Source organism: Homo sapiens, chromosome 6, assembly GCF_000001405.40.
Source record: "Homo sapiens chromosome 6, GRCh38.p14 Primary Assembly".
Lineage (NCBI taxonomy): Eukaryota > Metazoa > Chordata > Mammalia > Primates > Hominidae > Homo > Homo sapiens.
In genome coordinates this window covers 28,570,008-28,584,865 of record NC_000006.12, presented here as the reverse complement: position 1 = coordinate 28,584,865, position 14,858 = coordinate 28,570,008, and the positions used below count along the sequence as shown (strand labels likewise).

At 37.5% G+C, this 14,858-nt stretch overlaps 1 protein-coding gene across 7 annotated transcripts in view; it reads left to right on the top strand.

Annotated features, from left to right (window-relative positions):
* SCAND3 (SCAN domain containing 3) overlaps positions 1-14,331 on the top strand; it is a 45,668-nt gene extending 31,337 nt beyond the window's left edge. For 6 of the 7 annotated variants that reach the window (XM_011514287.3, XM_047418158.1, NM_001329616.2 and 3 more), the window contains 3 exons: positions 5,447-5,594; positions 8,730-10,222; positions 11,039-14,331. In XM_011514287.3, coding sequence (XP_011512589.1) covers positions 5,480-5,594; positions 8,730-10,222; positions 11,039-12,955 — 3,525 coding nt within the window. In that variant the 5' untranslated portion in view covers positions 5,447-5,479 and the 3' untranslated portion in view covers positions 12,956-14,331. Of the gene's footprint in view, positions 1-5,446; positions 5,624-8,729; positions 10,223-11,038 lie in introns of those variants that run through there. The other variant, XM_011514288.3, reaches the window with a different exon arrangement.
* The last annotated feature ends 527 nt before the right edge of the window (positions 14,332-14,858 follow it).

The window sequence follows — 14,858 nt, the reverse complement described above, 5'->3', positions numbered from 1 at the left end:
CTGGTTTAGTATCTTCAAGAACTACTGTACTTTCCACAGTGTTAAACTGTCTGTGCAGACGAGGCTGTAAGTGCAGATGAAGAAGCTGCAAAGACATTTTCCCCTCATTAAGAAATTAGATTGATAAGGAAGGCCATCCCCTGGCTCAGATTTTTACTTTTTATGAAACCAGTCTCTATTGGAAGCAGATGCCCTCAAGGGGATATGTGGAGAATTTGGATGCATTGATCCAGAATGGAGTAAGCAGGACTGGAAGTACTCTAGAAACACACTGTGGGGTTTAAGGCTACAAAGGATCAACTGATGGTGATGCTGGGTGCAAATGCCAGTGGAATTTTAAAGCTAAAGCCTGTGATTATCATTCTGCCAATCTATAAGCTTTAAAATGAATTGTAAAGACTAGCCTTGGTGCCTACTACAGGTCTAGCAAGAGAGACTAGATGACAGGGCAGATATTTTCTGATCTTTCGGGTGATTTTTTTGTAGATTAAAAAAAAATAAAACATTGCAAGAGAAAAAAATTGTCTTTTAAAATTCTTATAATTCTCAGTGATACACCAAGCCACCCTCCAGTAGTCACTGAGCTTTCCTCAAATATCACAGTTCTCATTTTACCTCCCAATACAACTTCTTTACTGCAGCCCCTTAATCATGGTGTGATTGCAATCTTTAAAGCTTATTATTTAAAGCAAACATTCAAGATATTGGTTGCCTATACAGGGGGTGACAGTGCCCTAACATTTTTTGAATTCTGTAAATGATTCAACATTAAACTTATTATTGATATTATTGTAGAGGCCTGGAATGATTTCACAAAAGCCTGTTTGCACGGGGTGTGATATACAATTCTCCCTGATTTAATTTATGATTCCAAAGCCTTTGAGCCTTCAGAAGATCTCCCCAAAACCAACCCAAGCTGTATCGCTCTTGCAAAGGGGGTTGGATTTGAAGAAGTTGCTAGTGAGGATAATGCGGAGCTGCTGCAATCTGACACACAGGATCTTTCTACAGAAGAGCTGCAAGTTAGTTGCTGAGGCACAAATGGAAGGTGTGGAGGAAGAAGAACATGCAGTTCCACAAGCTACAAGCTGCCTCCCAAGAGCTTTTCACTTCTCAGTTATCTTCTGCTTCAAGTATGATAGAGAAGCAGTTGGAGTAGATAAAAGATAATGACTACAATGCAGAACGCAGCATGATTTCACTTCATGACATAAAGCCCTAATTGGACCCATATAAACAGCTTCTTTATGAAAGAAGGAAAGTGTTAAAACAGCAAACACTGGGTATCTTTTTATAAGCCAGTGTCAAATAAATAAAAACAAGATGATAAACGGGAACCCACATCATGTTTCTTGTAGTATCACTATATCCAAGGGTGGAAGAATATAACATCAAATGTTCAAGCGTCTTCACTTGGATTTTTGATGATTATATCTTTCCACCTTTGAATTGTTGTTGTTGTTGTTTGTTTGTTTGTTTGTTTTGAGACAGAGTCTCGCTCTGTCCCCTGGGCTGCAGTGTAGTGGCACGATCTCGGCTCACTGCAAGCTCTGCCTCCGGGGTTCAGTCATTCTCCTGCCTCAGCCTCCCGAGTAGCTGGGACTACAGGCGCCCGCCACCACGCCCGGCTAATTTTTAGTAGATACGAGGTTTCACCGTGTTAACCAGGATGGTCTCAGTCTCCTGACCTCGTGATCCGCCCACCTCGGCCTCCCAAAGTGTTGGGAATACAGGCGTGAGCCACCGTGCCCGACCCACCTTTGAATTTTTGATGATTATATCCTTCCACCCTTGCCCCCCCTTTCCTCACACTTGTTTCTAACAAGATAACATCACCTTTCTAAGGTAAAATCCTATACTTAAAGTAAGATTTATTAATGTCTTATATTTTTACTAGAGTTTTTATAGTGTTTTTTATTTTATTTTATTTTTATTTTTATTTTTTGAGACGGAGTCTCACTCTGTCCCCAGGCAGGAGTGCAGTGGCAGGATCTTGGCTCACTGCAACCTCTGCCTCCCTGGTACAAGCGATTCTCCTGCCTCAGCCTCCTAAGTAGCTGGGATTTACAGGCAAGCGCCACCACGCCCAGCTAATTTTTGTATTTTTAGTAGAGACGTGGCTTCACCATGTTGGCCAGGATGGTCTCGATCTCTTGATCTCATGATCCGCCCGCGTCAGCCTCCCAAAGTGCTGGGAGTACAGGCGTGAGCCACCGTGCGCCAGCCGGGAGTTGTTATAGTTTTAATAATGCTCTAGTGACAAAGTTGTGTAGGTGTTAAAATAGTCCACCCTTTAACCGTATTTTCCCCATAAATCCTGTCACTTTTCTGCAGTTTTGCAGAAAGCATGTTTTTTTAATACATTCATATGTTATGTTGCAGCACAAATGCCTATATAAGCAGTTTCTCACGTCTAGTCAGCACACCCTTTTCTCTTTGCTTTAAATAACAAATACTGTAGTTTTTTTCCCCCTTAAGATATGCCTGTTACTTTAGAATAGGGGTATCCAATCTTTTGGCTTCCCTGGGCCATATTGGAAGAATAATTGTCTTGGGCCACACTAAAATACACTAACACTAACGATTGCTGATGAGCTTAAAAAAAATCACAAAACAATCTTACAATGTTTTAAGAAAGTTTACAAGATTGTGTTGGGCCACATTCAGAACTGTCCTGGGCTGCAAGTGGCCTGCAGGCTGCAGGGTGGATAAGCTTGCTTTAAAATTTCCCCTTCTAGCTTTGTTGAAAAATGTAGCTTCTGGTAGGACTTGGTGTTTGGTCAGTTCCTTGGGTATTGTTCAGGTTATACGCTGATCATGTTTGATAGTTTTTTTAATGTGGTCAGAGTTATAAATATCTCTTAGTGTTGTTGAATATCAAGTTTGTATAAATGTTTCTCATTTTTCTTGTTTTTGTGTGATTTCCCCCACAGGGGAAATACCACTGGCAGACACTTTTAGCTGCCAACCCAGTGTCTATTCTACCCTTCTTTCCTCCCGACAAAATGTTGGTTTTGTTCATACTGGCAATATATCTAATTAAATTCTTTTCCAGGCTTCCTTGTTCTAGAGTTAACTATGCAACAGAATTCTGGCCAGGGAGAAATAAGCATATTTCGGGGAGGAGGTTCCTGGGGAAGCTTTTATTTTCCTGATAGGATAGGGGAGATTACTTTAGTTTCACCTTTTCTCACTTCCAGTCTTGAACACTAATATGATATCTGGCCATCTTCTGACCATTAAGTGATGGTAAGCATGAGGCCAAATGCTAGTGTTAAAAGTGACAGAGCAGAAATATGAAGACAGCTAGGGTCCCTGAAAAACTGTTAGATAAATGAGTTGGTGCCAGCAACTACCTTCTTCTAGGCTTCTTGTTATGTAACAAAAATAAACCCCTATTTGTTTGTGCCACTGTAAGTTAGATGTTCGAATTTATTGGAAATATGTGCATTTCTAATGAACACAGCAATATTTACTCTACCATATTACAACCAAAAGTTTCTTTCCAGCATTTTTATTTATTTATTTGAGATGGAATCTCACTCTGTCACCCAGGCTGGAGGGCAGTGGCACGATCTTGGCTCACTGCAACCTCCACCTCCCAGGCTCAAGCAATCTGCCTTCCTCAGCCTCCTGAGTAGCTGGGACCACAGATATGTGCTACCATGCCTGGCTAATTTTTTGTATTTTGGGCAGTGATGAGGTTTCACTATGTTGCCCAGGCTGGTCTCGAATTCCTGAGCTCAAGCAATCCTCCCACCTCGGCCTCCCAAAGTGCTGAGATTACAGATGTCAGCTACTGCACTCAGCTTCTTTCCAGCGTTAAAAAAAATCAAACCCAGGAATTGAATACTGAAAGACTAATGACTGTCATGACCAGTTTGAAGTAACTTCAGTTTTGTAATTTATTACCACTACCCAAGGTACTCTTCAAACTTCTGTGGTAGAGGCAGAAGTGGAGTTCCTCCCGGTTCTAAGACCAGGCCCACCCATTTTGGTCTAGTCCAGCTGGTGGAAAAGTAGAGGAATCAAGAGACTAGATTTGTGTTTGTGCTTGGGGGGGTGGGGGGGTGGGGGAGAGTCAGTGAATAATTCAGCACAATGAACCATATCCATATTTTGTTTCTTAGTTGCTCCAAAAGCTGGGATTGTGTATACTAACATTACAGAATTGATACATTGTTTAATTATAAACAGCAGGTGGCCCTCTTTCACAGATTCTGTTTCTGGCAGTTATGCAAAGATTTAGACAAATTGAAATGCATGCTATTATATTATACAAAGCAATTTACATAAGATACCTTATTAAGCTCAGAGAAGGGAAAAACATACCAAAGGGAACTGGCTTAACCATTTTATGAATTTTGAGAAAATGATTTTTTGAAATGTGCTTTGCACAGTTTAAGAATTTTTTTTTTTTTTTTGAGACGGAGTCTCGCTCTGTCGTGCAGTGGCATGATCTCAACTCACTGCAACCTCTGCCTCCTGAGTTCAAATGATCCTCCTGCCTCAGCCTCCTGAGTAGCTGGGACTACAGGCGTGCACCACCTCGTCTGGCTAATTTTTGTGTTTTTAGTAGAGATGGGGTTTCATCATGTTGGCTAAGTTGGTCCCGAACTCGTTACCTCAGGTGATGCATCCACCTTGGCCTCCTTTTATTAGTCCCAAAATGCTGGGATTACAGGCATGAGCCACCATGCCCGGCAAGAATAAATTTATTATGTGGTATCCAAGTTGGAGGAAAGGAGCATGACACAGAATCTTAAATCCCAACATGATATTCTAATAATATGTAGGCTTTCATCTCCTCCTATGTCACTGGATATTCCCTTTTAGAATATTCTGGTTTATGTGCAATTTTGGGATTCACTATCCATGGACATTTTCCAACTCGATGTAGCGTAAGTGTAACCATTAATAACTCTGTAATCCTTTAACAATTTGTACATTTTCTTAGGCCTGGTGAATCTGCATTATTAATAGTAGAGACAGGGTTTCTCCATGTTGGCCAGGCTGCTCTCGAACTCCTGACCTCAGGTGATCCACCTGCCTCGACCTCCCAAAGTGCTGGGATTACAGGCATGAGCCACTGCACCCAGCCCAATATTTACTTTTAATTAACCACACTGGAACTCATTTACAATTTTTTTCAGTCATCACGGTTTAGGAGATATTTCTTTAACGTGCTTTCATTGTTATTCCCAGAAACAGAAACCAAAGGGATGCGTTTTAACTCCTGTCCTATAGAGACATCAGTTTCTGTTGTATGGCTCTGGCTTTATTAGTCCCAGCATTTTTCATTTCTCTTCATGTTTTATCTTGTACTTAAGAATTCAGTAAAGACTGATTTTCTTCTTACATTCTATTTTAGTGGAAGAATACAAGTTTAGCTATGACAAACTACAATTATTTGTATTGTTTACCAAATGCACCTACTTGTCCACAGGTCTCACAGGGCACATATGGGCAGGAAGTTTCTATGGAAGAAATGATCCCTCTGGATTCTGCAAAGGAGTCTTTAGGCACCCAGCTTCAGTCTATGGAAGATAGAATGGAATGTGAATCTCCAGAGCCACACCCACTTCAAGATAATGGTGAGAATAATTTAGTTCTAAGAAAGAAGGTGAGACTTGGGAGAATGAAGGGTCTAGTATTGAAAGTTATCAAACCTCATTCCATTTCAGCTTCTACTGAATGTATTAATAGTTGAAGGAAAAGCCAATCAGTATAGTGTAATGTTATTAAGGGAGTTGAATTAAAACAGTCAGATAATAATGTCAAAAATACTTGAACACAAGATTTTTCATGGATACTTTGTAATGAAGTTAGTAAGTACCTGTGGATAAATCAGATACCTCTGTATGTAAATACTGAGCACTTGTCAGTGTAGTCATGGGTCCCATTGCTGTAGCCTCTGACCACAATTTTTGTCACATAATGACTGTGTATACATTGGAAATACTATTTGGAAATTCTACCTTAGAATATGGAATTTCTGAAGTCTATGTTTATTAGTGTTCTAAGGTCTGTTATTGGTATAATGTATAGTAGAGGTGGAGTCTGGCCTGGTTCTGGAACAGCTATCTTTTCCATTTAAAAAGGATTAGGTAAAATGGATACAATGTTTTTCTCCTCTTATAGCCCTAACAATTTTCTTAGACATTAATATTGATTCTACAAACTTCTGGGGCTCATATTTTCCTGGTTCTCTTGACATTGCCCTGTATTTCTTCTTCTAATTCATTCTTATTTATTTTCCTTCTCTGCTTCTAGTTCTATAGCATGGCACAAAATGGATCAGTATGGAAAGAAATGCTATCCATAGGATGGTCTTTTTCAGTCACATTTTGAGATAGCACTTACCATTATTGTTATTTTATTATAAAGTTAACAATTTTCTATTGAACACTAGATGTAGTAACGTGTTAGATAATGTGAAAGATACTAGAGAAATAAGTGATCTCTGTTTCTTTAGAAACTTACAGTCTTGTTGCATCTACCTATAAAACAGTTAAAGAAAAAACTGCGATAGTGCTAACTTGTGTTATAAATAGATAATGATTTTCAGGAAAGGAAAACTCACTGTGAGTTTAAATTTAATGATCAAAGAAGCCTTACTGGAACAATTGAGAGTTAAATGAGGCCAAACCACACAGTAACATATCATTAATTTTAACCTAGTTTTAGAAAATATAAACATTTTAGATGATTTAAATTTAGTAGTTCATTACTGCTACAGAACCAAACGGGTTCACTTGCCTGGCACAGGAAAGCCAAACATCCACATCAACAGGAGAAAAGAGGGCATTTATTTGCAGAGTGTCAAGCAAGGAGAATTGGTCCCCTCAAAATTAAGACCCAGTTTCCCCAATGGTTTGCAAGTAAAGTTTTTTTAAAAGAAGGGAGTCAGAGGTTACAAGCAAAGTCATAAATCAATACGTGGACACTGTACATTATTTTGACCTAAAAAGGTAGGATGGACATCTCAGAGAAGGGGCTTACAGGTCATAGGTAGATTCAAAGATTTTTTGATTTGCAATTGGTTAAGGAGGCAAAGCTTTGTCTGAAAATTTGGGATCAGCAGAAAAAAAGGTTAGCTCTGGCTTGCGGGTGTGACTTCTTCCAGGCCCCACAGGAAGAACTTTAGAACAAAGCAGCGGTTGGAGTTCAGTCCTCAGTTCCCCATTATCTGAGGTCTTCAGACCAGTGGATCCATTTGGTGGAGGTATGGGTTTCTGAAAAACAACTTAGGGATATATGTTAAGATGCTATCTTTAGTTAATATAGGGAACATCTCATGACTAACTTTTTTGGATGTTGTTTTAAGGTATTACCTTCTTGTTTATCAAGTTGCTCATTTACTTCTTAAAGATAGTTAGATGCCTGGAATTTCCCTTGAAGGAACTCAAGATTTTCTGTTATTACCATGCTTGGGGTTAGGGGTGGCTGACAGGCCCCTAAGAGGGGTCCCTGCTCTGTCTCACTATTTGGTATGCAAATTGATAGTATAAATGATGTTGACTTGAGTGAAAGTATTTTTCCAAGCAACTATAAAACTATCTAGAGATGTTATGCTAATTCCAAATTATTATTTTTTACTTTTTCCAAAATAGTTTTTTTCCTTAACACTTAGCCAAATTTGAAGTATTCTTAGTGTTTCTGTTATTATGAGTATTCTAGAAATTTCTTTTAATAAGCTTTATTAAGTCAGAAATTTTTCACTGATTTTGACTCATCCAGTACTCTTATTAAAATTAGTAATGAAGCTATTTGTATTGAGTTTGTAGTTAATAGCCCTAAAAGGGAGCTGATATGAATATATTAGGTTGGAACTTACTCCTCAAATGTTGATGTAATAGCTAACCTGACTGAATAAAAGAGAAAATGTGTAGTGTGGAGATTTTTTTAAAAATCTATTATTGTCTTGCTGAGGTTCCTCCAAAAAAAAAAGTCTGAGACCGGGTGTGGTGGCTCACGCCTGTAATCCCAGCATTTTAGGAGGCCAAGGCAGGTGGATCATGAGGTCAGGAGATCGAGACCATCCTGGCTAACACAGTGAAACCCCGTCTCTACTAAAAATACAAAAAAAAAAAAAAAGTCTTTGCATAGTAAACAAACAAGTAAATGTTAATTTGCATCCTATTTTACATAAAACAGTGCTTCAATCCTGAAAACTGCTCTGGAAATTCATGTCCTGGCTTTCTGCTCTTTATTGTTTGAAACTTTTTGTTATTGGCTGGAGTTTCATTTACGCTCTTCATTCCACCAAAGTTGGATTCCTTAATCAAAATGGTATCCCCCTGGCCTGGTGCAGTAACTCACGCCTGTAATCCTAGCACTTTGGGAGGCTGAGGCTGGCAGGCAGATTGCTTGAGACCAGGAGTTCAAGACCAGTCTGGCCAACATGGTGAAACCCCATCTCTACTAAAAATAAAAACATTAGTCAAGTGTCATGGTGCGCACCTGTAGTCCCAGCTACTCGGGAGGCTGAGATAGGAGAATTGCTTGAATCTAGGAGGCAGAAGTTGCAGTGAGCTGAGATTGTGCCACTGCACTCTAGCCTGGGCAACAGAGTGAGACTCTGTCTCAAAAAAGAAAGAAAATGGTATCCCCTTTTGTGTGTCCATATTCCCTACTTCTACCTCAAGCACTACTGGCTCCTTTGGCAATATATGTCTTTTAAATTATATTCCTGAATATTCTAATTGATTTTTTTCCTTTGTTTTTAGGGTCATTTTTGTGGTTTTCCATGATGTCTCAAAGCATGGGTGGTGATAACCTCAGTAGCTTAGATACTAATGAAGCAGAAATTGAACCAGAAAACATGAGAGAAAAGTTCTTCAGAAGCTTAGCAAGGTTACTGGAAAACAAAAGTAATAATACTAAGATATTTTCTAAAGCAAAGTACTGTCAGTTGATAAAGGAAGTGAAAGAAGCTAAAGCTAAGGCGAAAAAGGAATCAGTTGACTACCGTCGCTTGGCTAGATTTGATGTTATCCTTGTACAAGGAAATGAGAAGCTAATTGAGGCTGTAAATGGGGAAACAGATAAAATACGGTATTACTTACACAGTGAGGACTTATTTGACATTCTGCATAATACACATCTCAGCATTGGACATGGTGGACGTACTCGCATGGAGAAAGAGTTACAAGCGAAATACAAGAACATCACAAAAGAAGTTATAATGCTGTATCTGACCCTCTGTAAACCATGCCAACAGAAAAATTCAAAACTCAAGAAGGTTCTAACATCAAAATCAATTAAGGAAGTTAGTTCAAGATGCCAAGTAGATCTTATAGACATGCAGTTGAATCCTGATGGGGAGTACAGATTTATTTTGCATTATCAAGATCTCTGTACAAAGTTAACTTTTTTGCGGTCATTAAAGTCTAAAAGGCCTACGGAAGTTGCACATGCTCTTTTAGATATATTTACAATTATTGGAGCACCCAGTGTCCTACAATCTGACAATGGGAGGGAATTTTCAAGCCAGGTTGTCAGTGAACTCAGTAATATTTGGCCAGAATTGAAAATTGTCCATGGGAAGTCTCAGACCTGCCAAAGCCAGAGTTCTGCAGAACAAACTGAGGATATCCGAAAGAGGATTTTCTCCTGGATGCAAACTAACAACTCATCACACTGGACTGAATTTTTGTGGTTCATTCAGATGTCCCAAAATCAGCCCTATCACAGAAGCATGCAACAGACTCCATGTGAAAGTGCATTTAGCTCTGAAGCTAAACTGGGCTTGTCCCATTCTCAGCTAACTGAAGAACTTGTTGCCAGCTTGCATACAGAAAATGAATTAGATCAGGCTGACAAAGAGTTAGAAAATACTTTAAGAGCCCAGTATGAAGAAAACATTGAGACTGGAACAGACAGTAGTGATATTGAAGAGAATCTTTCTGTCACTCCTAAGGTGGCTGAAAAAAGCCCTCCTGAGAGCAGACTAAGATTTTTATCCTGTGTAGTTTGTGAAAAAGAATGCACAGGTGTTAATAGTTGTATATCATGTGATGGAAATATCCATGCAATTTGTGGAGTGCCCTCTCAACATGGGACTGAGGGCTGTGGTCGGCAAATAACTTGTAGCCTTTGCTATGAAACCAGCACAATGAAGAGGAAACATGATGAGATTCAAAGAAGTTTGCCTGTTAAACCTTCCAAAATGCTAAAGCCATCAGGGACACCATTTTCACCAGACAAAGTAGGAGACTGGGTAAGATTGAATATCTGCCGTAGATGAAAGCAGGGGAAGAATCTCATTACAGTGTACTGTGAATAAGTGTTGTGTGACAAGGTATATGAAAGCACATTTTTATTACCTTGGATATATTTCCCCCAAAGAAGGCCTAATTACTTTTAATGCTTCTTCTCAAATCAAGTGAAGAAGTATTTGTAGGGGTAGGGGATGATAAATTTGCTTGGAAGATATGGGTTTGTGTTGGGAAAGACTTCAGTTTGGGAATTTAAATGGAGAGCATGAAATAGAACCAAAAAAATTTAAAATCAATAGGCTTTATGAAGTAGGGTTAATGTTTTGAAATATGGAGGTTACTTATGACTTAAACTAGTGGTACGCAACATGTGATCAGTAGAGCAGTACTGGTATAAAAACTCCAGTCCATAAGGAAATAAATATAAAAATTAAGCGTAAATATTTAGAAACCTTTATAACAATTGACATTACTGCAACATCCAAGCACATGATTAATGGACTCATCTTACTGAATAGAATATAGACCAATTTAGGTATTGTTAAACTCTCAAGGTGAGTCACATGTGGTGGCAGTTACACACTAGTCAAACACAATAGGTCCCCATTACAACCTGTGATACTTTATGTTTCGTTTATCAGCCATAACCCAAAGATGTATAAAACTCTGAGAAAATATAGGCATTTATTTATTTTTATAACTTAACTTTAAAATAATTTTTTATTTTAATCAAATCTAGTTTTTAACTTGTGGTATAACACTGTTAGCTGAAGGAGGAAAGTAAAATTCATATTATTTACTTTTATTCCTAATTTCAGATGGCGAAACAAGCTTCACTGGACTTTTTTGTCAAGAAAAGACATGCCTTTTCTGAACACAGTAGTAGTAATAAAAGAAATGTTAACAATAGAAGTTATCCTGAAGAAGGGAAAACCAAAAGAGTTCATGCTAGTTTCACTCGGAAATATGATCCTTCATATATTGAGTTTGGTTTTGTAGCTGTAATTGATGGTGAAGTACTAAAACCACAGTGTATTATTTGTGGAGATGTACTGGCTAATGAAGCAATGAAACCATCAAAACTTAAGCGACATTTATATTCAAAACATAAAGAAATAAGTTCACAACCAAAAGAATTCTTTGAAAGAAAGAGTAGTGAATTGAAAAGCCAACCAAAGCAGGTGTTCAACGTTTCTCATATAAACATTAGTGCTTTGCGGGCTTCATATAAAGTAGCACTTCCGGTTGCCAAGTCTAAAACACCATACACAATTGCTGAGACACTAGTGAAAGACTGCATCAAAGAAGTTTGCTTGGAAATGTTGGGTGAATCTGCAGCAAAGAAGGTAGCTCAGGTACCACTTTCCAATGACACCATAGCTCGACGTATTCAGGAACTGGCTAATGATATGGAAGATCAACTCATAGAACAAATAAAACTAGCAAAGTATTTTTCATTGCAACTTGATGAATGCAGAGATATTGCTAACATGATAATTCTTTTAGTCTATGTGAGGTTTGAACATGATGATGATATAAAGGAAGAGTTCTTTTTTTCAGCCTCTTTGCCTACAAACACAACTAGCTCAGAACTGTATGAAGCTGTAAAGAATTATATTGTTAACAAATGTGGTTTGGAATTTAAATTTTGTGTAGGAGTATGTTCTGATGGTGCAGCTTCAATGACAGGAAAACATTCTGAAGTGGTAACCCAGATTAAGGAACTTGCGCCAGAATGTAAAACAACACATTGCTTCATTCATCGAGAAAGTCTTGCCATGAAAAAAATATCAGCTGAACTAAATAGTGTACTTAATGATATAGTAAAAATTGTGAATTATATAAAATCTAATTCATTGAATTCAAGATTATTCTCTTTATTATGTGATAATATGGAAGCTGATCATAAGCAACTGTTACTGCATGCTGAGATACGGTGGTTATCACGGGGAAAAGTTCTGTCAAGAATGTTTGAAATACGAAATGAACTCTTAGTGTTTCTGCAAGGCAAGAAACCCATGTGGTCCCAACTTTTTAAAGATGTGAATTGGACAGCCAGACTTGCTTATTTGTCTGATATCTTCAGTATTTTTAATGATCTTAATGCTTCTATGCAAGGGAAGAATGCAACTTATTTTTCAATGGCAGATAAAGTTGAAGGACAAAAACAGAAGTTAGAAGCTTGGAAAAACAGAATTTCTACAGATTGTTATGACATGTTTCATAATTTAACAACAATTATCAATGAAGTAGGTAATGATCTTGATATTGCACATCTGCGAAAAGTTATCAGTGAACATCTTACAAATTTGTTAGAATGTTTTGAATTTTATTTTCCATCAAAAGAAGATCCACGCATAGGAAATTTGTGGATCCAAAATCCATTTCTTTCATCAAAAGATAACTTAAATTTAACTGTAACTCTACAGGATAAGTTGTTGAAGCTGGCTACCGACGAAGGATTGAAAATCAGTTTTGAAAATACAGCATCACTTCCTTCATTTTGGATAAAAGCTAAAAATGACTATCCTGAGCTTGCTGAGATTGCTTTAAAATTGCTGCTTCTTTTCCCCTCAACATACCTCTGTGAGACCGGATTCTCTACTTTAAGTGTTATTAAAACAAAACATAGAAACAGTTTAAATATACATTATCCCCTGAGGGTAGCATTGTCATCAATCCAACCTAGATTAGACAAATTAACAAGCAAGAAGCAAGCTCACTTATCACATTAAAAGCTTTAAATATTGATATGTAAGGTATTGGTTCAAAGTATGCATATAAGCATTGAGTGTGAGGAATTTGCTATTTCACTTTAAACTTTCTGTCTAGTTACAGTTATGGAAGTATGAGAAGTTATGAGTGAAACAGCAATTTTCTATATAAATTGCCTATATGTATATTTTCAATTAAGAATGTGTACAGTTTTTATAATTCTATTTTTCCTCATATTTGTCGTATTTATTAAAATATAATTTTAAATCTGTTGATTCTAATATTAAAACATTTGATCTTATATTTTGTGTCTTCTTCTTGTATTTCATTAGCATGTTAAGATTGTAGGACAACTTCAGGATGGGAGATGGTTTCTTTGAAATAGACAAGGTCAGTGAAAGGAAGTGAATTCAAAGGGGTAGGCTTAGAATTCAAATGCAGGGGACAGGTCAGTAGGGTATGAAGTTTGTTAAACTGATCCAGAGTGGTTAGGTTGGAAGTTGATGTTGTTTGTTTTGTAGGTGCATGTTTAGACAAAGATGGAAGGGAACACTTATTTTGTAATGGTGTTATGGCCTTGGATTCATATTGATAAATTTATTTACTTATTTATTTTTGAGGCAGGGTCTTGCTCTGTTGCCCAGGCTGGAGTGCATTGGTGCAATCTCTGCTCACTGCAACCTGTACCTCCTGGGTTCAAGTGATTCTCTTGCCTCAGTCTTCCGAGTAACTGAGATTACAGGCACCCACCACCATGCCTGGCTAATTTTTGTATTTATAGTAGAGATGGGGTTTCACCATGTTGGCCAGGCTCATCTTGAACTCCTGACATCAGATGACCCTCCCACCTCGGCCTCTCAAAGTGCTGGGATTACAGGCGTGACCTGCTGCGCCCGGCCGATAAATTCTGATTTCATAAGGATGGGCGATTGGGCCATACTGACAAGTTTATGTTAGGTGGTTTCTAGATTTTGCTAGAACTGATTGCCTTTAAGGTGCTCTGGGACAAAGTCAGAAATTATTGGCACCTCAATTAGATTTAACAACCTCTATTTTGTTTGGAGATGATTCAGAAAAATGCCACAAATATCTGCTCTTGTGTCTGTGAACTCATTTAGAATAATCGAAAGCAAATTAGTCCGATAAAACAGGTTCTTTAGCATCAAAACATGACAGAATCCATGAAGAAAATATCTTTTCCTAGACAGGGTAGCAATTTACAGTAAGTGCTTCGTTTCAAATAAATGTGATATTCAAAGTTAAGGAAAGGAAGGCTATTTAGTGATTCAGAATGTTACTAATAATTTAACCTTTTGGTAATGGAAGTTTCAAGGATCCTCCAAACCTTTGAAAGTAGAGGAAAGGTTCATATTTAGTCCTGAAACCTTAATTGGATTATGTTTTATTGTGTGTTTGTTTTAATCTTACAGCTTTTCAAAAACAAAAAACCTTATCATGGTGGATAGATTTAGAAGACAGTGGTTTAATTTCTCCCACTGACAAATTATATGCCCTCTTTCTTATCTGACCATATTCTAGAACTAAGGGATTTTAAAATGTTTTACAGTTTGTTTTATTGATTGAATAAAGTATTGTGTTTCCCATTTTTAATTTCAAAAGGCAATGTGGTGATTTTATATTTATTTCTATAAAAACTTAAAGTAGTCTGGAAGAAATTAAGAGGGAATTAAGAGTACATATTAAAAGAGAACTAAATTCCCTTACTTTCTCTCTAAGAAATATAAAGTATTAGATGTTTGAGATTGGTACAAAGCCTTCACTTTCTCTCTAAGAAATATAAAGTATTGGATGTCTGAGATTGGTACAAAGCCTTCTCATATACTTGAACAACTATTTTTATTTTTTTCTGCAAATGATTCAGTGCCAGGAGGCTAACTTGCTTTACCTTTTTTTTAAGACATA